Below are 27,125 nucleotides of genomic sequence, written 5' to 3'. Positions count from 1 at the left end.
ACAAGATATGAGAGAGCTTGCTTCCCTCTCTTTGCTCCCCACCACGTGAAGAGACAGTGGGAAGTCAGCAGCCTGCCACACAGTGGAGGGCCCTCGCTGGCCATGCTGGCATCCCGATCCCAGACTTCCAGCCTCTAAAACTTGAGAACAAAGGTTTGTGGTTTAAGTCCCTCAGTCTATGGTAATTTGTTAGAGTAGCCTGAACTAAGATGCCTACTATCAACATGACTTATCACTGAGTATCTTTACCTTGATCACCTGGCTAATGTAGTATTTGTCAGGTTTCTCGATAAATTTACTCCCCACCACTCTTCCATACTCTATTCTTTGGAAGCAAGTTACTAAGTGTAGCCCATACTTAAGGGGCAGAGAGCTGTGCTCCCAACTTCTTGCAGGGCAGTGTTTACATACATTACTTAGAATTTTTCTATATGGGAAATTTGTGCCTTCTTCCTAAAAGGGGGTTTTTCACTGAGACCCTGATCTAGCAATGTTGCAAAAATTGGCCACTTGACCTCAACAAGGTGACTGTATTCGTCTGTTTTCACACTGCTATGCAGACACACCGAAGACTGGGTAATTTATAATGGAAATAGGTTTAATTGACTCACAGTTCTGCATGGCTGGGAAGACCTCAGGAAACTTAGAATCATAGCAGAAGGAGGAGGAGAAAGTTACCTTTTTCACAGGGCAGCAGTAAGGAGAAGTGCTGAGCAGAAGGGGAAAAGCCCCTTATACAACCATCAGATCTCAGCTGGGTGCAGTGGCTCACGCCTGTCATCCCAGCACTTTGGGAGGCTGAGCCGGGTGGATCACTTGAGGTCAGGAGTTCAAGACCAGCCTGACCAACATGGTGAAACCCTGTCTCTACTAAAAATACAAACAGTTAGCTGGGCATGGTGGCAGGTGCCTGTAATCCCAGCTACTCGGGAGGCCAAGGCAGGAGAATCACTTGAGCCTGGGAGGCGGAGGTTGCAGTGAGCCAAGATTGTGCCACTGGACTCCAGGCTGGGTGACAAAGCAAGACTCCATCTAAAAAAAACAAACAGACAAACAAAAAACCATCAAATCTCATGAGAACTCACTCACTATTGCAAGAACAGCGTGGGGGTAGCCACCCCATGATTCAATTACTTCCCACTGGGTCTCTCCCCCAATACTTGGGGATTATGGGAACTACAATTCAAAATGAGATTTGGGTGGGTACACAGCCAAACCATATCAGCGACTGAATCATTTTCTGTCACTACTTGGCTTTTGAGAAATTTCCAGTTTTCTCTCCTGGGCTCCAGACCACTGAACGTTCTGTAGACCAACAATTCACACAGTGCTGGATGGAGGGCGAAGCTGGACCATGTTGGATCTATGGGCCAAATCCATTCATGTGACAAATGTCTAACTGTGCACCTACTATGTGCCAGGTGCTGTTCTAGGGGGTTATATAGCAGTGAGAAATTTCTTACTCCCACAAAGTTTACTTGATCTTGTTACTCAAGGACCAGCAGCATTGGAAATACCTGGAAGATGGTTAGATTCTCAGCTCCTCCCCAGACCTGCTGCATCAGAATCTGCATTTTAATAAGATGCTCAGGGGATTCATAGGCACATTGAAGTTTGAGAAGCACTGGGCTAAGAAGTATTTCACAAGCAGATAATTGAACACTAAATAAGTGTTGCAATCTTAAATAGTAAAGACAAAGGAATTTTATAAGTATATGTTGATCCTGGTGTATGATAGAATACCTTAAAAAATCAGTGGGGCTAATGAGAAAGTGAGCTTATATGTCCTGGTGTGGTCTGCATCTGATTAACCCCTGTGACCAGTTTGGAAGCTCAGCCTCAACTCTGTTTCTCCTCCCAACCATTTGAGAACAATCTAATGTCCTTTAACAAACCCCTTTCTGCCTATACTACCCAGAGTGGATGCTAAAGTTTGCAGGTAGGAAGCCTGATCAATACAGGGTTTGTAGCAGATCTGAAGATGCAGCAGCTGGGGGCAGGAGGTGAGGGACTTTAGGCCTTGACCAGGCCACAGGGAACAGGTCTCTGTGTCACTGGCCTCATGCTCAGGCAGCATCTGTGGCCAGCAGGATGTCCAGTGAGTGAAGGAGCTGAGGAGGAGAAGACTCCTTGTGTGAAGTTAGAGGCAGCATTGCTCACAAGACCACTCTTACTTCTGACACCAATTGCAAGTTCAGGAGTGGCCCAGACAACCCTTAAGTGTGAAAATGTGCCAGAAAGATTCACAGAACTCACTTAAAGTTGTTATACTCATGGTTATATTTTATTACAGCAAAAAGATACCAATTAAAATCAGCCAAGGGAAGAGCAACATAGGGCAGAGTCCAAGAAAGTTCTAACGCAGAGCTTCCAGCTGCCCTCTCTCCCTGGGGTCGTGGACAGCATCACTTTTCTAGCATTGATGTGTGACAATACACATGAAGTATTGCCAACTGGGGACACTCAGCCAAACCTTCTTTCCAAAATAAAAGCAATTATTTTAAGGTCCCCTTCCTAGGAATCTCATCAAATAGCTAGGAAAGATTAACCAGAGAAAAGACTTGGAGTAATCGCCACGCCCAGACTTCTTCATCTATCCTCTGAGTGCAGCTCAGAGATTACCGGGGAGACTTCATCTGCATAATAAGACAACCTTTGTGCATTGTGAAGTTCCGCCCCTCACCTTCCCACCACTTCCCACAGCACTCATAGGAACTTCCTTCCAGGCTATTGTTCTTTGGGCTCAGTCATTTCTCCTGAAAATCATCTGAAAAGCTCCAGAGTCTTTTGGGGCCTTGATCATGCCAATCTGGTTGGCTGCCCATGTGGCTGGGCTCAGTCTTCAGCATCTTCAGAGATTAAGCTGATATGATGTGAACAAAAGCCCTGCCGTGGCTCCCCTTGTTAGACTATCTGTTATGGACCAATGCCCCCAGGTAAACAAAGGCACTCTTACCAGGCAAGCATTCCAAGGGCTTAGAGATTACCTTCCAGGGGCCAAGGACAAAAGCCATGTCTCTCTTTGAGCAAGGTTAAATTCTTTACTATGTCCTGCTTCACTCCACTCTCATGATGCCATGTGGACCCCTTCAACATCCCTGTATACCCAGGCACCACCTCAAGAGAAGGGGAAAGTCTGGAAAGAAGAGAAAGTGAGCAAATGACAATCTGCTAAATTAACCAAAGAGTCAGAGTTATAGGATTTGATTTCTGGGCATTTATTCTACAATGTACCTCCACACGTATGAATTGGCATATGAATACAGGTATTCACTGAAACATTATTTATAAAAGCAAAAGTTTTAAAACAACCTGATGACCCATAAGTAGGAACTGGTTAAATAAATTGTATCTTTCACCAGGAGATCCTATGCATCTTTAAATAAGAATGAAGAAGTTGTTTTGTACATACACAAATGTGGAATATTATGTAGCTGTGTTAAATTTTAAAAATCAAATGCAGAAGATCTCTGTGTACTAATAGGAAAATATATTTTGGACTTTTCCAGTGAAAGAAGCAAAGTGCATTGGCCGTGCTAGCTCCTGCTTGACTTTCTAATCCCTGGGGCCCAATGCTGTACTTGGTTTTGGTTTTGTTTATTTTGTTTTCTTCTTCTGTCCTTTCCAAACACGCACACTTATTGGTTCTATTGTTTGCCTAACCCTTTGATACTATACCCAGCAGCTCTCATCTTTCCACCTATTCAGACCTGTGGCTGCCCCTGACCTTGTTACCTATATTGCCAAGACTTCTCCATGCTGCCTTCACTTACAGCACAATATGGACTATCCTGGCATGCTAGTGTCTTTTCTTCTAAGCTACATCTTGGGCTCTTAGAAAGAAATGCAGGCTAGGCATGGTGGCTCACACCTGTAATCCCAACACTTTGGGAGACCAAGGCAGGTAGATCACCTGAGGTCAGGAGTTTGAGACCAGCCTGGCCAACATGATAAAACCAAGTCTCTACTAAAAATACAAAAATTATCTGGGCATGGTGGCGGGCGCCTGTAATTCCAGCTACTCAGGCGGCTGAGGCTGGAGAATCACTTCAACCTGGGAGGCCGAGGTTGCAGTGAGCCGAGATCATGCCATTGCACTCCAGCTTGGGCAACAAGAGAGAAACTCCATCTCAAAAAAAATAAATAAAAAGAAAGAAGAAATGCAGCTGGGCATGGTGGCTCCTGCCTGTAATCTCAGCACTTTGGGAGGCTGAGGCCGGCGGATCACCTGAGCTCACAAGTTCAGGGCCTGCCTGGGCAACATGGCAGAACCCCATCTCTACAACAAATACCCACACACACAAAAATAGCTGGGCATGGTGGTGCATGCCTGTAGTCCCACTATGCTGGAGGCTGAGGTGGGAGGATGGCTTGAGTCCGGGAGGTGAAGGTTGTCGTTTGCCGAGATTGTGCCACTGCACTCCAGCCTGGGAGATAGAGCCAGACCTTGTCTCAAAGAAACAAAAACAAAAACAAAAAGCATGTCTTGAGACTGAATGGGTTCTGAGACCTTACCTGAGAGCCTCATTAGAAATATCATGTATTCCAATTTCTAGGCTGTTGCTGCTGCTCAGGCCATTCAGACAGAACTATGGTTTTGGTGATGGAAGGAGACCTCAACTGGCTATAGCCTGCCTGCCTTTTCCTCCAGTAATTTAATTCTCTTACCTACGCCTAGGCCCCAGGCTGGGGATGTGGAAAGTAGGATTGTCAGGAGATGAAAGGATTCTGTTAGAGATGATGAACTGTGCTTAGTTATGGAGACAAATTAAATCAGAATAGCGGCCTGGAAGACACCGGTGAGGCTAGAGGTCTTGATCAGGTTGAGGAGAGGAGAGGGGAAATCAGAGAAGGGCAGAAGGGAGGAACAGGTTGTAGTCAAGAGGAGGCGCTCCAAGGTGGCATCTTGGTTTTGTGTGAGAATGAGATCTACACAGCAATGAGTCTGTGGTCTCTTGAAGGTTCTTTGACAGTCCAGTTCTTCCGGTTATTGAGATCAGAACCTCCTGTCCCAAGGCCAGTCCTTCTCTACAGGTTGGAGCTGTCCAGGATACTCATATGTTTACAGTCAGATTTCAGGGCGTCAGAACCTGCTATGGGACTCTAGGGCCAGCTGTGTTGTCCTGTACTACCCCATCGAGATATAACACTGTTGGGGCTCGGAAAACAATACGCCAATATATGGCACATTGATATGCTGAACTAAAAAAGCAGACTCAAGGTCTCCCTCTGATCTTCCCTCACCTCCTTAGCTCTCTGATCCTCTTTCCTGAAGCACCAGAAGGGACTCTGTCTGGAATTTCCTTCTCTGAATAAGAAAACTTCTTTCCAAAAGAAATGCAATTATCTTAAGACCCCCTTCCTAGGAATCTCATCAAAAACCCAGGAAAGATTAACTGGAGAAAAGACTGGGAGTCAGGCCAGGCGCGGTGGCTCACGCCTGTAATCCCAGCACTTTGGGAGGCTGAGGCAGGCAGATCATGAGGTCAGGAGATCAAGACCAACCTGGCTAACATGGTGAAACCCTGCCTTTACTAAAAATGCAAAAAATTAGCTGGGCGTGGTGGCAGGCACCTGTAGTCCCAGCTACTCAGGAGGCTGAGTCAGGAGAATGGCGTGAACCCGGGAGGCGGAGCTTGCAGTGAGCTGAGATTGCACCACTGCACTCCAGCCTGAGCGACAGAGCTAGACTCTACCTCAAAAAAAAAAAAAAAGAAAGTAACAGCAAAAACCACAATTACTTTTGCAACACCGTCATACTTGTACTCACCTCTTTTCTTCAGGGTCTGCTTCTGGGGACACCAAGTATGACAGGTGATCTAATTGTGTCATCCATTGACCACCACCTGGTTATTCTCTGGGCACCCACGGAAGCTTAACCTGAACCCATCAATTTCCAAAATAATCCCGCCAAGAGCTCTTCCCAGCCTCATTTGACAGGAGAGGACACTGAGGCTTGGAGATACCTTGCCCAGGGACCCAAAACAGGTAGGCTGGAATCAATACTGGCTCTTTTCAGCACACCTATCACTCTTTTTATTTATTTATTTATTTTTATTGATCATTCTTGGGTGTTTCTCGCAGAGGGGGATTTGGCAGGGTCATAGGACAATAGTGGAGGGAAGGTCAGCAGATAAACAAGTGAACAAAGGTCTCTGGTTTTCCTAGGCAGAGGACCCTGCGGCCTTCCGCAGTGTTTGTGTCCCGGGGTACTTGAGATTAGGGAGTGGTGATGACTTTTAACGAGCATGCTGCCTTCAAGCATCTGTTTAACAAAGCACATCTTGCACCGCCCTTAATCCATTTAACCCTGGGTGGACACAGCACATGTTTCAGAGAGCACAGGGTTGGGGGTAAGGTCACAGATCAACAGGATCCCAAGGCAGAATAATTTTTCTTAGTACAGAACAAAATGAGAAGTCTCCCATGTCTACGTCTTTCTACACAGACACGGCAACCATCCAACCTCTCAATCTTTTCCCCCAACTTTCCCCCCTTTCTATTCCACAAAACCGCCATTGTCATCATGGCCCGTTCTCAATGAGCTGCTGGGCACACCTCCCAGACGGGGTGGCGGCTGGGCAGAGGGGCTCCTCACTTCCCAGTAGGGGCAGCCGGGCAGAGGCGCCCCTCACCTCCCCGACGGGGCGACTGGCCGGGCTGGGGGCTGACCCCCCCACCTCCCTCCCGGACGGGGCGGCTGGCCGGGCAGAGGGGCTCCTCACTTCCCAGTAGGGGCGGCCGGGCAGAGGCGCCCCTCACCTCCCGGACAGGGCGGCTGGCCGGGGGGGGGCTGACACCCCCACCTCCCTCCCGGACGGGGTGGCTGGCCGGGCAGAGGGGCTCCTCACTTCCCAGTAGGGGCGGCCAGGCAAAGGCGCCCCTCACCTCCCCGACGGGGCGGCTGGCCGGGCAGGGGGCTGACCCCCACCTCCCTCCCGGACGGGGCGGCTGGCCGGGCGGGGGGCTGACCCCCCCACCTCCCTCCCGGACGGGGCGGCTGGCCGGGCGGGGGGCTGACCCCCCCACCTCCCTCCTGGACGGGGTGGCTGCCTGGCGGAGACGCTCCTCACTTCCCAGACGGGGTGGCTGCCGGGTGGAGGGGCTCCTCACTTCTCAGACGGGGCGGTTGCCAGGCGGAGGGTCTCCTCACTTCTCAGACGGGGCGGCCGGGTAGAGGCACTCCTCACATCCCAGACGGGGCGGCGGGGCAGAGGCGCTCCCCACATCTCAGACGATGGGCGGCCGGGCAGAGACGCTCCTCACTTCCTAGATGGGATGGTGGCCGGGCAGAGACGCTCCTCATTTTCCAGACTGGGCAGCCAGGCAGAGGGGCTCCTCACATCCCAGACGATGGGCGGCTAGGCAGAGACGCTCCTCACTTCCCAGACGGGGTGGCGGCCGGGCAGAGGCTGCAATCTCGGCACTTTGGGGGGCCAAGGCAGGCGGCTGGGAGGTGTAGGTTGTAGCGAGCCGAGATCACGCCACTGCACTCCAGCCTGGGCACCATTGAGCGCTGAGTGAACCAGACTCCGTCTGCAATCCCGGCACCTCGGGAGGCCGAGGCTGGCGGATCACTCGCGGTTAGGAGCTGGAGACCAGCCCGGCCAACACAGCGAAACCCCGTCTCCACCAAAAAAAATACGAAAACCACGCAGGCGTGGCGGCGCGCGCCTGCAATTGCAGGCACTCGGCAGGCTGAGGCAGGAGAATCAGGCAGGGAGGTTGCAGTGAGCCGAGATGGCAGCAGTACAGTCCAGCTTCGGCTCGGCATCAGAGGGAGACCGTGGAAAGAGGGGAGAGGGAGAGGGAGACCGTGGGGAGAGGGAGAGGGAGAGGGAGAGGGAGACCGTGGGGAGAGGGAGAGGGAGAGGGAGAGGGAGAGGGAGAGGGAGAGGGAGAGGAAGTATCACTCTTAAAAGCAGGATCAGGAATGGAGCCCATGCTCCATGTATTTCTCCCCATGAGGACCCCAAAGCCTGGCAAATAGGAGGTGCTTAGTAAGCACACCCAGCCAATAAATATGGAATCCCCATTTGGCTAAATAAATCCTTCCACATAGATTACCCAATGCAGTCATTATAGCAGTCCCAGGAATTGACTACTATAATCATCATCATCATTTCATAGATGAGGACCCCAGGGGGAAAGTGACCTTCCCAAGGCCACATGGCTAGTACTGGATGAAGCCTGTGTCCTTTGCCAGTCGGTCATAGGGATGGATGGTGGCAAACAAATGAACAAAAATGGAGAGGAGAGAGGGCTTGAAGCCACAGCTTACCCTGCCACCAGCTGGGCGACAACACATCGTCCCATCTTGGAACACATCTCTGTCACACACAGGGTAAATGGGATTATTCCCTGTGAATTATCTGCTAGCCTGAAGCTCCATCCATCTGCTCATTAACACAATAAAAAAAATTATCAAACGAGTCTTCTGACTCCCAGTCCCTGGGAGCCCAACTACATAACTTGGAAATGACTCTTTATTAGTCTGATCAAAGGCTCATTGTTCAGTAATTAGAAATCACGGCCTCTCCCTCCAGGCTTGGGGCTCATAAACAACAGTTGGATGAGCTTTTTATTGGGGTTGGACCAAAAACTTAGACAGATCCATTTCCTCCTAATTTACACCTGCTTCAATGAGGGAAAAGCAGCGGGAGGCTGAGTTTTTGCTCCGGGAGATCATTGGCTCCCTTGGCTGTAGCAGGCAAGAAATGAGGGAGGGAGCGATGTCGAAGTGAGCCCCTGCCTGAGACAGGACAAGGGCCTTAGAGACGGAGCACCAGCGCCAGATCCAGGGCTACATGATGTACAGAATCCCTGGTTCTCTCATTGAGGCTCCCATAGCAGCGGCGATGAGAAAGGGGCCTTGGAGACCATAGATGTGGCTGACTATCCAAAGACCCCTGAGGTCAGAAGAGGGCAGGCAGTGATGAGGCTCAGCTAGAATACCAGGTGATTCCATCATCTCATCATTTAATAAATATTTATTGAGGACCTACTAAGTGCCAGCACTCTGCTAGGCATGGGGATCAGATGGCGAATAAAAAAATACAGTGCCTGCTTGTAAAGATATCCCAGGCCAGTCGGGGAGGGTGGTCCCTCCTGGAGGGGAAGCAAAGTCCAGACTCAGAGAGGGCATGCATGCACCTGGTGAAGAGGAGGAGGGTGGAGGCAGAGGCCAGGCACACCTCACCCCCGGAGCTGAGAGCAGAAATGTCTTCATTCTTCAAGAATCTCTGAGACGTGCTGCACAGCTGGAAATGCAACAAGCAGATCCAGCTGTGACCTCCAAGCTTCATCTTTCTTGTCCTCAAACTCTCATGTATTGGACATTGGCACCCAAGAACAGGAAGTCCTAGGAAAAACAGGACAGGACAGGATGGTAAAGAGCATCCTCTACTCCAAAAAGATGCATCTGCGATTGAAAGGGAGCCCACGTCTCACGAAACACAAGCTCTGCCAGAATCCAGGTCAGTGCATAAATTGCGAGTGTGCCTCAGTCCCCAAGCTCTCCGTAAAGCACAGCTCTTCCCAGCTACCTTCTCCAAGGTAGAGATCGATCTGTCATTCCCCGAGCTGCTGCTGCCCGGCAGGCCTCTAAGTGTCCTTTGCGTCACCTAAATTTTCTCTCTTTGGCAAATAATGAAAAATTGTGAACTGCTAGGGTGTACTCTCCTGCTCTTCTTACGTTTCCATCACCCAGAGGGGCAGGAATTCTGAACCGAAGGCCAAGTTCAGTTCTTTCCCACAGTGATCCATCCTTTGTTTTAGACGGTTAGACACATGGGCAGAGTTGACCTCAAAATTCTAATGAATATTATAATATATAATAAATCTAATTACTTTCCACATGTCAAACATTGAGCTAGAAGCTATCATACTTGCCCTCTAAATCATCACAAAAGCCCACTGACATTTCGGTTATGTCCCGTTTTACAGAGGAGAAAACTGAGGCCGATGGTATGAACTGTCACTCAATCTTTGCTTTGAACAACGATCTGTCTGACTACTTATAAATGCTCAAGAGCAGTTAAGTGCTGAGTATCTCAGAGCCCAAAAGGGCTTTCGACATTTGTTTTTTAGATAGAACAGTTGGCCAGTGTTTCTAGGTCCCTAATCATCCCCCCTGCCCTTCATTCCCTTTAATGGCTATTATTTTCTGTTGTTAACAATGTACCAGGCACAGCGCAGCATCCCCCTCCTGCTAATGAGTCCGCCAACCCAGTTCATCTCACCTCAAAAGATAACCTGAAAATTGGAAGCACAGATAGACCACAAAATGCTTGGTCAGAATAATAGTTTGAATAATGAAAATAGTTTTTCACTATTTCACTTGATATTAAAATAGTTTTTAAGTTAAGCTTTAAAAAGAACCTTAAGTTAATTTTTTTTTTCTTTTGAGATGGAGTCTTGCTCTGTCGCCCAGGCTGGAGTGCAGTGGCATGATCTCAGCTCACTGCAACCTCTGCCTCCCGTGTTCAAGCCATTCTCCTGCCTCAGCCTCCTAAGTAGCTGGGATTACAGGTGCGCACCACCATGCCCAGCTAATTTTTGTATTTTTAGTAGAGATGGGGTTTCACCATGTTGGCCAGGCTGGTCTCAAACTTTTGACCTCATGATCTGCCCGCCTTGGCCTCCCAAAGTGCTGGGGTTACAGGCATGAACCACCGCTCCTGGCCTAAAAAAAAATTTGTTTTAAGTTTTAAAAAAAAAGGGAAAGAAAGAAAACAGGTATGAGCACTAGTAATGCAACTGTGCAAAACAAACAAACTTAAAAAAAAAAACCCTTAAAACAAAAAGCACTAGAAGTACACCAAAATTCAAACTGTGCTTGTAGTGGAGCAATAGGTTTATGAATAATTTTTGTAAACATATATAGTGTTGGCTGTATATGGTGTCTCATGCCTGTAATCCCAGCACTTTGGGAGGCTGAGGTGAGCATATCACTTGAGGCCAGGAGTTTGAGACCAGCCTGGCCAGCATTGTGAAACCTTGTCTCTACCAAAAATACAAAAAAAAAAAAAAAAAATTAGCTGGGAGTGGTGGCGGGAGCCTGTAGTTCCAGCCACTCCAGAGGCTCAGGCTCAAGAATCTCTTGAACCTGGGAGGCAGAGGTTGCAGTAAGCCAAGATCGCACCACTGCACTCCAGCCTGGGTGACAGAGCCAGGCTCTGTCTCAAAAAAAAAAAAAAAAAGTATATATGGTTGTAGTACTTGTTTAAATGGGGAGGCATGCCAAACAGGTATTTATAATAAAGCTCTTCAACCTTAAAATTTAGAAGAAAAGCTTAAAACTTACAAATGACTTTCAGAACCTGACCTAATGCTACGTCTAGGACTTACAGTATTTTCTTTCTTTTTTTTTTCTTTCTTTTTTTTTTTTTTGACGGAGTGTTGCTCTGTTGCCCAGGCTGGAGTGCAGTGGCGTGATCTCGGCTCACTGCAACCTTCACCTCCTGGATTCAAGCAATTCTCCTGCCTCAGCCTCCTGAGTAGCTGGGATTACAGGCACCTGCCACCATGTCCAGCTAATTTTTGTATTTTTAATAGAGATGGGGTTTCACCATGTTGGCCAGGCTGGTCTCAAACTCCTGACCTCGTGATCTGCCCGCCCCAGCCTCCCAAAGTGCTGGGATTACAGGCGTGAGCCACTGCACCCGGCCCGCAGTATTTTCAAAACGAGCTGGTCTTGAGCTTCCCTCAGGCCCCTCATGGTAGGGATGGGATGTGGTGGTGGCATAGGGCTGTGTCAAATGCCACCTGCACCAGCAGAGGTGCCACTTCTGAAGGACATGTGGATGGCTTTGTGGCATATGGCAAGGCCCAGGAGCACCCGTCCTGCCCCTGGCCAGACTTTCCCAGCTGCAGGGCTGGGCTGGGTGTCACCCATGAATCATGGCCCCAAAGCTAGCATGCAAACCACCTCCTCCCTCACACATCCTCAGAGCCCCCCTGAACCCACCGACCTTATGGATCTGCAGCCCAAGGTCGTAGAGCTGAACACGCTTCAGCAGAGGAAGGGGGAAGCCTTCGGCCAACTTATCTAGAGGTTGAAGCACAACATTGAAAGAGATTGGTGAATAAATAATAATTAGAGACAGATTTTTACCGAAAATGTTCTCTGCAAACTCTATATTCAGTATATTCCCATTTAGTGATTTCCAAGACTATGAGGTAGGTGTGATTATTCTTTCCATTTTACAGATAAGGAAACTGAGGCACAGAGTGGCCAAGTAACTTGTTCTAGGTCACACAGGAAGTGTCAGAAAGGGGATTTAAACCCAGGGAGGCTGACTTGGGAGCCTAAGCTATCAGGCATGGTGCTGTCTGGAGGAAGCACACATTCATGATAAGATAAAGAACAGGGCGTTCCACTCCCTGCCCTTTGCCCGTCCTGTTCTCTGTTGCAGCCAAAAGAAGCAAAGCTTCATGGAAACAGGATTTAAGTTTTTTGCTTTCTTTTTTGACTAGGCAGTTGGGCAATTGACTGGGAGATGTGAGTTCAGAGGCGGCTGCCTTGTGCCTTCTATATTAACTTGGTCCTCAGTCTTTGACCTGCCTCTTCAGGATGTGGGGCACTTCCATGTGTCCCTCTGTCCCGCTTATAAGGAGGTTTCCCGTGCTCCAAAGAGCTGTCCCAGCCCCCAACCCTCATTAGAGCCCTGGAGGGAGATGAGGCCAACTTCAACGATCCCATGTCACAGGCAGGTCACTAAGCTCAGAGAGAAGTGACTTGCCCACGGTCATACAGCCCCCAGGAGAGCCCTGTTTTCCAAGTCCAACTCTCTTTCCTCCAGACAGCAGTGTTCACTTTTGACTTGGAAAAATCCACAGTGATTCTTACCATTGAACTTGGGGTAGAAGGTGTTAAGGATGTAATAGTTGAGGAGCGCTTCCAACAGCTCTGCCTGGAAGAGAACAGGAGAGATATATTTACATCGCCACAGGGCCACATGGTGGTTCTGTGTGTGCCAACATAGCAAAACGCTTGGGAAAAGCAAACTAGTATTACATCATGCTACTATTTTATAAGATAAAACTCTTTTGAGATGAACATTTGGTATGCAAGTGAATAGAAAAATTTTGGAAAGTTACACACCCGACAGTCTTTCCTCTAAAGGAAGAACATCAACATTTGACATGTCCTTAGCCTTATCTTTAGTATCGGTTTTATTTACAGTGAGAATGTTTTTCCTGAACTACCTACATAATTTAAAAAATTTAATAAAAACAAAATAAGCTTCTCTACCAAAATCATGAAACACAACTTCTAACCCCCACTATATGCCAAGCAGAGAGCTCAGAGCTTTACGTGCATGTCTGATTCAATCTTCACAACAACCCCTCAAAGTTCATATTAATGTCCCTATTCCATATATCGGGAAACTGAGGCCTACAGAATGAAAGGGACTTACTACAAACTGGGCAGCAGCATCAGGATTCGAATCTAAATGTATCTGAGTCTGTAGTTTTTGTTTTTACATTTCATGCTCTGAAAACCCGACAGGATGGATTTTTGTGAAACTTCTCACTTGAATGTTTTACTTTGCAGTAAACACGCACAGATACAATATGAGTGCACCATTATTCACTCCACCCTTTATTCTCTGAAAGGAGTTAGCTTCAGGGTCCCTGCATCTCTCCCCACCGCCTCTGTGTTTGTTTCCACTTCATAAGTGCTTCGGGAAAGTCTGGGAGGCAGGGCACAGGTGGAGGTGGTCAGTGGAGGCCAGCATCATGGAATGGTAAAAGAGAAGCCAACGACTACACATTAAAGTCTACCCAGCTCCTCCTTCCCTCTTTCCAGAAAGCTCTTCTCCATAACTTTGGCCCACACTGATTTTCACGTTCTCTTTCCTCCTTTTATTTGGGGCCGTCTACTTCACCACTTTTTCTACCTTGTGGAAATCACTTCTTGGATTTACCTGCTCAGCACTCAATCCCTCTTGTTTTGATAACGGAGTCTATTTTCCCCCAGGGAACAACCCTCCTTGCCAGTCTTGGTCCATGTGCTTTGGATGTAGCTGACTGCAAATCCTGCCTCCTGGAGTGTAGATGAGATCCATGCTGGGCTGACTTCTGGCCACAGTGCTTGGCTTAAGACTGGGTGCCTAAGATTAGTCCAATGAGAGCTAGCACAGAGATTTTGTGTGTGTGTGTGCAAATTTTTTAAAAAACTGAAACTGTAGGAAACTCTGGGGCTTGCTACCAATTGGAAGAGCCTGCCTGAGAGTGAAGCTAACACAAATGAAAACAGAACAGAGAGATGGAGAGAGATTCTTGATGCACTAATTAGAACACCTGGATCCAGCTATGCCTGAAACCTCTGGTCTTAGTTTTTTCGTTTATTTTTGCTTTTCAATTATATAATCCTATATATTTCTCCTCTTTGCTTAAGATGATTTCAATTGGCTTTCTGTCTCTTGCAGTTAAGAGAATTCTGTTCAGTAGATGACTTAATTATATATTGTTTTATACTAGGATATAACTGTTCCTTGGCCCTATGTCTTGTGTTTTCGAGACCTTTTACACTTCTGCAGGGCAAAAAATCAACTCTTCTCCTTTTGTATTTCCTATTATAGGTGCCATAGCAATTGCTTAGGAAACACCCCAAATTAATTAACATTCTAATCATGTCATCAATAAAAACAACTTACATTGAATAGTCCAACTTTGGATTCTTTCAGTTCCACTTTTACCCTGTAATGAATCAGAGAAGATTAAAAGGTGTGGGCTTTATGCAAGTTTAAGCAATGCGGGGGTCCCCAGAAGCGAGAAAGGATGGGCTTGAGAAGGCACAGGGCCAAAGGTAGGGCGGGAGCAGGAGTGGAAAAGATGACTGAGGAACTAAAAGCAGTGATACAATGACATCGGGAAGACTGTCACAGGGCAGATGAGATAGTGTCAAAAAGCTCACTCTTTATCATTTCAGGAAGTTCATATAGCTGGCTTCTAAAATTCATACATTAAGAAGTAACAGTCTTAGTGAATTCTTTAACAATTTGAGATTTGTGGGGGCAGGACCAGTGGGGCAGAAGAATTGGGCCAATTGGGGTGAAATGTAAGTGTCCTTTCCAAATGGTGGCCCCCCCTCCCACCAGCTACAGAGAAGCAGCTACAGCATACAGATGGAGTCCAGCTGGGCACCCCCATGTAGGTAGGAGGCCAACTTACTTTCCTGGCTTCAGGAACCCAGTGATCTTGCTGGTATTGAAGGTCAAGGTGGCGGACACATTAGTGGCCTGGAAATGCCAGAAGAAGGAAGCAGGTGTAAGTGATGAAGGTTGTATGTATAGGAAGGATGATGACGAGGGACCAACTGTCTCCTCTCAACAAACAGCTCAATGAGCTAAAGCAGGAAATTTGCCCACTAGATCATAGACTCCCAGAAGGCTCACTGTAGGTGCTCAAACAATATTTGAACTTGGACTTGAACATTTTTACTTGAAATTGTTGTTTATGTTAGCAGTTAAACTTTGAACAGACTACTAAGAGAAGGTATAGAGTACCTACCCTTGGAAAGCTCTAAAAAGGATCATTTCTAGTTATCTCAGGTCAAGATTCAGCCCTAGTAACAACATTAATAAATTATTATTATTGTTTTAGAGATGGAGTCTCTGTCTGTCGCCCAGCTGGAGTGCAGTGGTGCAATCATGGCTCACTGCAGCCTCAATCTCCTGGGCTCAAGCGATCCTCCCACATCAACCCCCTGAGTAGATAGGACTACAGGTGCATGCCACCAGGCCTGGCTATTTGTTTTTTCTTTTTTGTAGCAATGGAGTCTTGCTGTGTTGCCCAGGCTGCTCTCAAACTCCTGGCCTTGTGTGATTCTCCTGCCTTGACCTCCCAAAGTGCTGAGATTACAGATGTGAGCCACCACACCCAGACAGTAAATTATATTTTAATTTAAAATATATTAATAATGACACTTTTGATAACAATAACAACAATATTAAATTGCAGATATAGCCTCTAGGAAGAATTACCCTGGTAGAGATTTGACTTGTTGATTTCAAAAGTCAAGAAACAAGAGAGCAGAGTTCTCCATCCAGGGAGCAAGGCCCCCAAAGGACCCAACATCCCTTCCCTATTAGACAGAGTCCATCAAAAAAGGAAAACTGACTCTCAATGTTTAACGCAGAGGGAATTTAATACGGGGAATTGGTTATACAAGTGATGGAATTGTTGAGAAGCTAGTAAAGAGTTGGTGAGGCCACCCAGAGATTATCCAGAGACAGGAGGCTGTATCCACCCCAGGACTAGAGGAACAAAGAGTGGAGGTGGAATTATGGAAGTCACCATGAGGAGACATAGTCACAGCCAGAGCCTCTGCCGTGGTAAAGAAAGAGGAAATAGTACTCTGGCTTCATCCTTCCTCCCCGCCATCATTCTCCTGACAGTACCTCCCATTGGTTGACCTGGGTGGAAATCAAAGTGCAAAGAAGCTTGGGAAATGTAGTCTTCCAAGGTCAAAATAGACAAATAGACAAACACCAGTATACCTTTCTCCCCACAATAGCCCAGACTCACATAGTGAGAGATACATGCATTAAACAAATACACCTGCAGACAGCTACAAAGTATCTTTGTAGTAAACGCTGAGAAGAAAGATAATGGGGTGTTACAAGAAAAAGTGGCAAGGGGCGTAAGGTAGATTGGGGGTAAGGGCCAGCAAGAAAGCCCTCTCTCGGGAAGTAATATTTAAGTTGAGACCTGGAGGAATTACCCAGGTGGTGAGTGGGGAGAAAAGCATGTGGGGAAAAGGGAAAAGCATGTGGGGAAAAGGAAACAGCATTTGCAAAGGCTCTGAACCTTACCACACTGAGCCGGAAGACAGGCTCCTTGCTGGAGCTGGGCAGGAGCACAAAGGCATCTATCTCCATATAGGGGTCCACAGACAGATTCCCAGGGCTGAAGTTCAGGAGCGGAGCAGAGGGCACTGATCCCTGGAGTTCCAGGTTCATGTTGGGGTAGAGCCTGGCTAACTGGGAGCAGAATTAGGAGATTACATCAAGAGAAGAAAATATACAAGTCTGCCAGGAGAGGCCTGAGGGAGTCAGATAAAGCTGGAAGTTGCTTTCGATTGATTTTATTTCCAACAAAATTCTCTGTGCCTTTTTCTCCTAGTGGCAAAACTGGCCATCTCTCCATGTCAGACACAGAGTCTGCACCATCTATTTCACGGCTGTGTTGTATTTCGTTATGTATGGGTCCTGCGATGGATTAAACTCTATTGGGCATCAAGTTGTCTCCAGGGTTTTGCCATTATAATGACCACCTCCTGTGAGCACCCTTGGCTATTCTTTTCAGGAAAACATTCCTAGAGGTGGAGTTGCTGGGTTGAAGGACAGCAATGCTTTCTTTTTTTGTTTTGTTTTTTGAGATGGAGTTTTGCTCTTGTCACCCAGGCTGGAGTGCAATGGTGCCATCTCAGCTCACTGCAACCTCTGCCTCTGGGGTTCAAGCGATTCTCCTTCTGCAGCCTCCCAAGTAGCTGGGATTACAGGTGTGCACCACCACACCCGGCTAATTTTGTATTTTTAGTAGAGATGGGGTTTCACCATGTTGGCCAGGCTGGTCTTGAACTCCTGACCTCAGGTGATCTGCCCGCCTCAGCCTCCCAAAGTGCTGGGATTACGGGTGTGAGCCACCGCACCTGGCCAGCAATGCTTTTAAAACTTTCGGCAGGTATTGCCAAATTGTCCTCCAGAAAAGTTGGGCCCATTTTTTCTCCCTCCCTACCTCTCCCAAGGTTTCTCCATCCCCTCATCACATTCTGCTAATTGGGCATGCTGAGGTCAGATGCCAGTGTTTTCGAAATATGACACAGCTGGATCCCACCATTTCTTTTTTAAAAAAAATATTTAATTTTCTCGTATTACTCTTTTAATATGATATTCCACAGAACATTTCTTTCTTTCTTTCTTTCTTTTTTAACTTTTCTTTCTAAAATAGAGACAGGGTTTTGCTATGTTGTCCAGGTTGGTCTTGAACTCCTGGCCTCAAGCTACCCCCCCACTTTGGCCTCCCAGAGTGCTAGGATTATAGGTGTGAGCCACCACGACCAGCCCTAGATTCCACCATTTCAAAAGTGCTCTTAATTTTCTGTGTACTAGAGATAGGTACAGAGTTTAATTTGGGGCAAGACTCTTCCTTTTTAGGAGGCTATTCGTGGAAAAACAGCACTCCCATGAACCTTTTGGTTATGTATATGTAAAACCTACATCCTCTTCTAGAAGGGAGACATTTGGAAGGCTGAGGGGGTAAAATGCTTCACTAAGAAGGTAGGCAGAGTTGCTTTTCCAAGCATTTCAGATAAGAGATAGTGAACCTGTATATACATAGAATATCATCAGAAAGATATGTAAAATCTGGTAATATTGGCAAACTTGAGATGGGAACTGGGTGGTTAGGGAATAGGAGTGGATGTGAGACTTTCCACTCTATAACCTTCTAGATCTTTTGAATGTTGAACCTTGAGAATTTATTTCCCATTCAAAAACTAACATTTTTAATAATTTTTTTTGAGACAGGGTCTCACTCTGTTGCCCAGGCTGGAGTGCAGTGGTGCAATCACAGCTCACTGCAGCCTCAACCTCGCAGCCTCAGGTGATCTTCCCACCTCAGCCTCCCCAGTGGCTGGGACTACAGCTATGTGCCGCTACGCTTGGCTAATTTTTGTATTTTTTGTAGAGATGGGGTTTCGTCATGTTGCCCAGGCTGGTCTTGAACTCCTGGACTCAAGCAATCCACCCACCTTGGCCACCCACAATGCTGGGATTACAGGCATGAGCCACCATGCCTGGCCAAAAAATAATTTTTTAAAGAACCAAGAACATGCCTGGCACCTAGGAAGCCCCCTGTAATTGTTAGCTGCTGTTCATTAGGGTACATTTTATGGACTATGCCAGCATTCCTTGGGATTCTTAGATAACACCAATAAAAGATTGGACAAGCTGTGGTCCCACAAGATATGGGGCGTGGCCTCTGTTATTTAGGCTTTGAAAGGAGCAGCACCCCAGCCTTCAGTGGGAGTCTCATCCCGGCCTTCTCACTCTTGGTCAAGCTGAGAGATGCAGAGGTTTTAAAGAGAAACCTCTGGAGTCTAGTAGGCTCGGTCTGCACTCATGGGGAACTAAGGGACTCCTTACCCGTGGGACGAAGGGTCGGAAGGACTTGGTGGTCAGTCGGATATTAGAGTCAGGCGGTATCTGCAGCAAAGAGACATGAAGAAGTTTTAGGGTGCTCCCGCTGGAGCTGAAGGTCTAAAGAAGATTGGGGAGACAGGGGGATGTGCAAGACTGTCGCTTCTCCACAGCCTGGGTTACCCTGGCAGGGAGGAGATGCCTGTCCTGCATTCACCCAAGGAGAGCACATGGGACTTCAGCATCCTGCCCGCTCTCCCCGGGGGGCAGCTGATGTGTGGCTCCCACTCAGAGGGTCTGCGAGGGTGAGGTTTGCGGTCACACAGACTTCGGTTTGTGTCCTGACTTTGTGATCTCAGGCCAGCCCTTCCATCTCCCTGAACCTCAACTTCCTTATCCATAAAATGGGGATAACAATAGTCCCCACCTTCGAGTCACTGTGAGGCCTAAACGAACATCCTAGCACAAGGCCCAGCACATGGTGAGTGCTCCATAAAACGTAGCTATTATCATCCCATTGAAAGAGAGGCCCGTGCCGCAGTAGGATGGGTAAACCAAACACGATGCCAGAAGCGAAGGCCTGTGCAGGTGTAGGAGGCCATCAGAAGGACAAAATGACCCTCGATCTACCAGACGGCCCCTGACTTATACCAGGGTAAGCTGGACCGTCTGAGCCGAACCACACTGTTTCTCCCACCATCCTGACATTATTCATGAGGCCTCAACTTTTATGAAGTGCTTCAAGAAACAACTTTTTGAAACCCAGAAATATTAGATAAACTGGAGAACCATTAAAGGTGAGATCCACTGTAAAATTCAGTCTCCCTTATACAAAGCCACATTGGAAACAGTTGTTTTGGGGGTGTGAGGAAGACTGTCTCTCCTTTTCACCATGAATCATGAAATCATGTATCTTTTTCACTTTAGCTACAAGGAAGCTCCCCGACAGGTTTGAGATGTTAAAGAAATTAATTTAAGGGCTCAGTGTCTTTATAATTGTGCTTTATTTTCACTTGGTCTTTATTTCCTTTTCTCTGAAAATATATGCATTTATCAGTGCATGTATTATCTTGCCTCATTCACATATAAATATATATATATATATATATATATATATTTTTTTTTTTTTTTTTTTTTTGAGATGCAGTCTCACTCTGTTGCCCAGGCTGCAGTGAAGTAGTGAGATCACAGCTCACTGCAACCTCTGCCTCCTGGGCTCAAGCAATTCTCCTGCCTCAGCCTCCCATGTAGCTGGAACTACAGGCATGTGCCACCATGCCCAGCTAATTTTTGTATTTTTAGTAGAGATGAGGTTTTGCCATGTTGACCAGGCTGGTCTTGAACTCGTGACCTCAGGTGATCCGCCCACCTTGGCTTCCCAAAGTGCGAGGATTACAGGCATGAGCCACCTTGCCCGGCCTCATTCACTAAAATATTTTTTAATAAACCTCCAGAAATCATCAGGATGAGAGAAAATATGAATTAGACTAACAAGTCTAGACTAGTAAACAGGTCTAGAAAAGCAAAACACAGATAAGTAAGCTGCAAAGTCTTCCACAGTTGTTATAAGGGAGGAAGAGCTTTTTTTTTTTTTTTTTTTGAGACAGGGTCTCACTCTGTTGCTCAGACTGGAGTGCAGTGGCATGATCTTGGCTCACTGCAACCTCCACCTCCTGGGTTCAAGCGATTCTCCCACCTCAGCCTCCCAAGTAGCTGGGATTACAGGCGCACACCACCACACCTGGCTAATTTTTGTATTTTTAGTGGAGACAGGTTTTTGCCATGTTGGCCAGGCTGGTCTCAAGCTCCTGACCTCAAGTGATCCGCCCGCCTCAGGCTCCCAAAGTGCTGAGATTACAGGCGTGAGCCACCACACCCAGCCATGGGAGAAAGAACTTTGGCTTTGAGTTTCTTGGTTGCCAAAGTAAAAAGGGAGATTGTGCTAACATATTTTTCTTGGTGTTGATTTTTCTCTTAGCTATAACTCACTATTTGACTGATGTCAACAGGGGTGAAAAGGAAAGAAGGAAGGAGCGGTAGGTTATGTGTTCATTTGAGAGACCTGTTTGCCACCATCCTCACCATGTCATCTGTGATGGAGAAGTTCAGATATCCTTCCTCATGATAAACCAGGCTGGCCGTGTTGAAGACATAATCCGAGATGGCAAAGTAGACCATTTTGTTGTGTTCCTCAGGAAGGCTCATGACTGCAGCAAGGAGGGTAACTGGAGAACGGTGGTTACGATGAAAGATTTCACCCTGGAGAGGGAAATAGGGTCCAATTGGACTTTTCAAAGCCTATCGTGGGGCAGGGGCTAGGTATTCCCCTACACAGTCCGATGAAGGGACGCTGGCTGGAACACTGCCTGAAACTCCACCATTAAAGGCAGTGTTATGTCTTTTAATGAAAAGCTCACCAGAAGCTTTGCTACATTAACCCACAGGAAGTCCTGGCCAGCCCCTCTATATGCCCTAGGCCCATCTACACTCCCTAAGACCCGCTCTGATTGGCCTTTTCTGCATGATGGGCAAGGCAAAGTAGGGGAAGAAGGAGGAGGGAAGCGTTAAGACCTGAGAGGTGTAAGACAGCCGTGGGAGAATCCTAGCTCTGGAAACACTCCCCACCACTCCATATCACCCGGCCCTTGACAAAGCGGGAACCACTGGGAGGATGAGGACAGATCTGAAGTTGGGGGGACAGGTGGCCCAAAGAATGGCTGACCCTGAGGGAAAGCCTCACCCACGCAGCCCGGCCCCAGGACCCTCACCTTAAACATCACCTCCAGCATCTGGGCTGTTGCCCGAGGGGCTTCCACTAAGCTATAATCAATGTCGGCGAAACTGTCAATCTCTGTTGTAACTGTGAATGAGGACAGGGCAGAATTAGGGGCCAGATGACACTTTCAGCTGCTGGAGGAGGGGCAAGGGCTCTGGCTGACTCACATTCCCTGTGACTTTCTTCAGAATCCCCCTACTAGCCCGGCCCTGAGGCAAAGAATTGCTTCTTCAAGAAAGACACTACATGGATTCCCTTGGATGAGTTAACAATGGTGGGGGTGTATGCTCAGCCTAGGGCCTAAGCAGTTTCCAGACAAGCACACACACACACACACATACACACACACCATGAGTCCAGGCTTCACCTCTCCAGCCACACCTGGAGCTTAATGCTGAGCCAATAACCAGGAAGGTCAGGCATGGCATGTCCAGAGGGCCCAGACACTCCCCTCCAAAACCCTGAATGGATGAATGTTCCAAGTCCCAGTACCGGGTTGCCGACCTGGACCTCTGGTAAAGGTGATGTCAGCAAATAACCGCATAGGGGCTTAGGAGCTAAGGCATCAGAGAACATCTCAGATAATTTGCCAGGGTCTCCCCCTCCGAGCTTAATGTGTGCACCCTGGATCCAGAGACTCCACTTGTAGATGGCTCCTTGCAGCCCTGTTGGCAATAGCAAGGGACAGCAAAGCACCTAAATGTCCATCAGTGGGGGACTTATTAAATAAATGAAGACACATCCATGTGATGGAACACTACACGGCTGTTAACAAATAAGGTCTGTTACAACCACTTTGGAAAACTGTTTGGCAGGATCTTATAATGCTGAATCTGGGCATATCACATGATATGACGAGCTTGCAATTTCACTCCCAGATATATACCCAAAGACATGCGACCATAGGTACTAGGACATTTATAGCAGCACTACGGATAATGGCCTAAAACTGAACACCCCCCAGATGGCCTTCAACAGTAGAATGAACAAATAAATGGGGAAACATCTACATGGTGATATACTATGCAGCAAGGAGAATAAACCAGCTACACTACAGGTGCATGCAACAATATGCATGGACCTCATGTTTTATTTTATTTCATTTCTTTTTGAGATAGGATCTCACTCTGTGGCCCAGGCTGGAGTGCAGTGGCACAATTTCAGCCCACCGCTGCCTTGACCTCCTGGGCTCAAGCGATCCTCCCACCTTGGCCTCCCAAGTAGCTGGGACTACAGGCACACACCACTATGCCTGGCTAATTTTTGTATTTATTGTAGAGATGGGGTTTCGCTATGTTGCCCGGGCTGGCCTTGAACTCCTGAACTGAAGTGATACTCCCTCCTTGGCCTCCCAAAGTGCTGGGATTATAGGTGTGCACCACCAAGCCTGACCTGACCTCATATTTTATTTTGTTTATTTATTATTTATTATTTTTTTTCTTTGTTGAGACAGAGTCTTGTTCTGTTGCCCAGGCTGGAGTGCAGTAGCACAATCTCAACTCACCGCAAACTCCGCCTCCCAGGTTCAAGTGATTCTCCTGCCTCAGCCTCCCGAGTAGCTGGGATTACAGGCATCCACCACGGCACCTGGCTAATTTTTGTATTTTTAGTAGAGACGGGGTTTCACCATGTTGACTGGGCTGGTCTCGAACTCCTGACCTCAGGTAATCCACCCGCCTCGGCCTCCCTAAATGTTGGGATTACAGGCGTGAGCTCTCACGCCTGCAATCCCAGCACTTTGGGAGGCCGAGCGGGCGGATCACGAGGTCAGGAGATCAAGACCATCCTGGCTAACATGGTGAAACCCCGTCTCTACTAAAAATACAAAAAAAATTAGCCAGACGTGGTGGCGGGCGCCTGTAGTCCCAGCTACTCGCGAGGCTGAGACAGGAGAATGGCGTGAAATCGCGAGGCGAAGCTTGCAGTGAGCCGAGATTGCGCCACTGCACTCCAGCCTGGGCAACAGAGCGAGACTCCGTCTCACAAAAAAAAAAAAAAAAAAAAAGAAAACAAAAAATAAAGGCGTGAGCCACCGCGCCCAGCCCTGACCTCATATTTTAAAGTTGAACAAAGAAAGCCTTCTGGCTTTTGAAAAGAGACTCAAAATATTGTCTGATTCCATTCATGTGCAAAGTGCAAAACTAATCTTTGCTGGTAGAAGTTGGGATGGTGGTGACCCTGGAGGGCTGGGCAGTGACCGAGGGGGACACCAGGGGCTCTGAAAAACCAGCCGTGTTCTGTTTCTCGGTTGGGAGCTGGTTACATGCATGTAAAAACTCTTTAACAGCACACTTATGATTTGAGCACTTTTCTTTATAAATATACTTCAATAAAAAGTTTTTAAAAATGAAATCAAGCTGGCACAGTGGCTCGTGCCTGTCATCCCAGTACTTTGGGAGGCTGAGGTGGGCAGATCACTTGAGCCCAGGAGTTCGAGACCAGCCTGGGCAACATAAAGAAACCCTGTCTCTACAAAAAATACAAAAAGTAGCCGGGTGTGGTGGCATGCACCTGTAGTCCCAGCTACTCAGGTGGCTGAGGCAGGAGGATCACTTGAGCTCAAGAGTTTGAGGCTGCAGTGAGCCGAGATCACACCACTGCACTCCAGCCTGGGACACAGAGTGAGACCCCATCTCAAAAAAAAGAAATCTGGAACAATGCCTATACTATATGTATATGAACATATATATTTAAAATAATACATATACACATAGATTCATGAACAAAATAATACATACATGAATGTCTATTTATATGCTTACATGTATTTATATTTGTACATACAAAGAAAATATCTGAAAAGATACACCCAAAACAGAAGTTACTTCTTGGAAGAAAAGTGGGGGAGAAAAATGAACTTTTAATTTTTACTTTCTTTTTTTTTTTTTTTCTGTTGAGACAGAGTTTCGGTCTTTGTTGCCCAGGGTAGGGTGCAATGGCGTGATCTTGGCTCACTGCAACCTCCACCTTCTGGGTTCAATCAATTCTCCTGCCTCAGCCTCCCGAGTAGCTGGGATTACAGGCATGCGCCACCACGCCCGGCTAATTCTGTATTTTTAGTAGAGACAGGGTTTCACCATGTTGGCCAGGCTGGTCTCGAACTCCTGACCTCAGGTGATCCACCCGCCTCGGCCTCCCAGACTGCTGAGATTACAGGTGTGAGCCGCTGCGCCTGGCCCTTAATTTTTACTTTCTATATTTTTGCCCCATTTACTATTTTATAAGATATATATATGCTCTTATAGAAATTAACAGAAATAAAAGTGTCCCGGGATGGATGGGGTGTCCTACCTGGCAGAGTTTGGAGATAAGGCTGTAGATCGGAGGACACTGATTTCTGGATCATTTCGCAAATCTGAAAAACATGGGAAGAGAATGACTGAGTGAGTTCCCCAGCTCTGGTCTGGCCCCGTGCTGATCACTGCAGTCACATTATTCCACACATGTGCTCAGTGATCACTGATTTACAAATATTTATAAGTGCTTGTCATGAGCCAGGTACCAAGGAAATACAAACAATAAAACTATGTGGGCCCCCATGTGGACTCCACTAGGGTCCAGTTGGACTTTTCAGTCTGTCCCAGGGCTGGACACCTGAGCTAGGGAGTCACTGACACAGCCTGAGGAGGGGGCACTGGCTGGAGACAGTGCCTGAAACTCCACCATTACAAAGTTTTCCTTTGGGAGGTCCTGGCCTCTCAGAATTTAGAGTTTAATAGCAGAACTAGACACTAACTAGAAATAAACACAAATAAACATACAGTTAATGTAGATAGTTTTTTTGTTTTTTTTTTTTTTTGAGATGGAGTCTCGCCCTGTTGGCCAGGCTGGAGTGCAGTGTTGCGATCTCGGCTCACCCTCCTGGGTGAACCTCTGCCTCCTGGGTTCAAGCGATTCTCCTGCCTCAGCCTCCCAAGTAGCTGGGATCACAGGCATGTGCCACCACGCCCAGCTAATTGTTATATATTTAGTGGAGACGGGGTTTCACCATGTTGGCCAGGCTGGTCTTGAACTCCTGACCTCAGGCGATCCACCTGCCTTGGCCTCCCAAAGTGCTGGGATTACAGACGTGAGCCACCACATTCGGCCTGTAGATAGTTCTTAATGGTCATCCTGAACAGATTGGCTGGACTGATCAGTATTCCCCATTCCTGCTGGTACTCCTGGAAGACTGAATGCTGGGGTCTGTAGGCTACTCACACACAATTGCCACCAGTTGTGCGGCCTGCTTCTCAAGAGAAGGAAATGTGCATTTCCAAACTTGTTGGCTGTACTTGCCACTGTAATCACCCGAATTATTTATGATGCAGCCTTGGGATAGACTTTGAAAAGTCCAACTGGGCCCTACTGGAGTCCACATGAAAGCCTACCACCTGTTTGCTGTACTTGCTTTTGTAATTACTCGAATTATTTATTATGTACACTAATGCAATATCATTGAGAAAAGAGTTTTTTTTTTTGTTGTTGTTTGTTTTTTGAGACACAGTCTTGCTCTGTTATCTAGGCTAGAGTGCAATGGCACAATCTCAGCTCACTGCAACTTCTGCCTCCCAGGTTCAAGTGACTCTCCTACCTCAGCTTCCTAAGTAGCTGGGATTACAGGCATGTGCCACCACACCCTGCTAATTTTTGTAATTTTAGTAGAGACTGGGGTCTCACCATGTTGGCTAAGCTGGTCTAGAACTTCTGACCTCAAATGGTCCACCCCCATCGGCCTCCCAAAGTGCTGGGATTACAGGCATGAGCCACCATGCCCGGCCCCAGCTATAAGGGTTCTTTCTATGAAAACCTAAGATAAATACTCTGGAAAGGTGAGGTGCAAAAAAAACCAAAAAACCAAAAAAACGAAAAACAAAAAAACCCCTCTAAAAGCAAGATTAAATTTGGAACAGACAACAGAAAATCTTAGGAGGAAAAAAAATCATAAAGATCAAGAAGGATTCTACACTGGGATGGCTTTGCAAATGTCTTTAAATTCTCATTGCAGTTAAAGAAACCTGGGATGGAATTTGTAGCAGTTTAATGTTTTATGCAGGAAAGACCAAGGGCAATGTCAATCAAGAGACCATTTTCAAAGAATAGCTGTGGGCCTTCACTGACACAGCTCGAAGAGGGGGCACTGGAGACGCTGCCTGAAACTCCACCATTAAAACATTTGGGTTCATACGTCAATATTTTCTTTGTTGATGTGCGATGAG

The 27,125-nt window shown here is 47.1% G+C and overlaps 1 protein-coding gene across 1 annotated transcript in view, besides 1 other annotated feature; it reads right to left on the bottom strand.

Moving 5' to 3' along the window:
- Nucleotides 8,973-27,125, bottom strand: part of LBP (lipopolysaccharide binding protein) — a 30,532-nt gene continuing 12,379 nt past the window's right edge. Inside the window, exons 6-15 of the mRNA NM_004139.5 lie at nt 25,219-25,282; nt 21,920-22,011; nt 21,234-21,410; nt 19,158-19,217; nt 16,824-16,991; nt 15,181-15,248; nt 14,664-14,706; nt 12,851-12,914; nt 11,973-12,049; nt 8,973-9,361 (exon numbers count right to left, since the gene is read on the bottom strand). Of these exons, the coding sequence (NP_004130.2) occupies nt 9,317-9,361; nt 11,973-12,049; nt 12,851-12,914; nt 14,664-14,706; nt 15,181-15,248; nt 16,824-16,991; nt 19,158-19,217; nt 21,234-21,410; nt 21,920-22,011; nt 25,219-25,282 (858 nt within the window). The 3' untranslated portion in view covers nt 8,973-9,316. The remainder of the gene's footprint in view (nt 9,362-11,972; nt 12,050-12,850; nt 12,915-14,663; nt 14,707-15,180; nt 15,249-16,823; nt 16,992-19,157; nt 19,218-21,233; nt 21,411-21,919; nt 22,012-25,218; nt 25,283-27,125) is intronic.
- Nucleotides 23,226-23,395: a silencer, noted in NCBI's record as "fragment chr20:36991245-36991414 (GRCh37/hg19 assembly coordinates)". NCBI's record gives its function as "represses an EF-1alpha promoter that drives an FKBP-Casp9 reporter gene in an ReSE screen in K562 erythroleukemia cells {active_cell/tissue: K562}" and the evidence as "EXISTENCE:reporter gene assay evidence [ECO:0000049][PMID:32094911]".

The sequence above is a fragment of the Homo sapiens genome, chromosome 20 (assembly GCF_000001405.40).
Source record: "Homo sapiens chromosome 20, GRCh38.p14 Primary Assembly".
Lineage (NCBI taxonomy): Eukaryota > Metazoa > Chordata > Mammalia > Primates > Hominidae > Homo > Homo sapiens.
The sequence above is the reverse complement of the archived record's forward strand: the minus strand, read 5'-3'. Positions and strand labels throughout refer to the sequence as shown.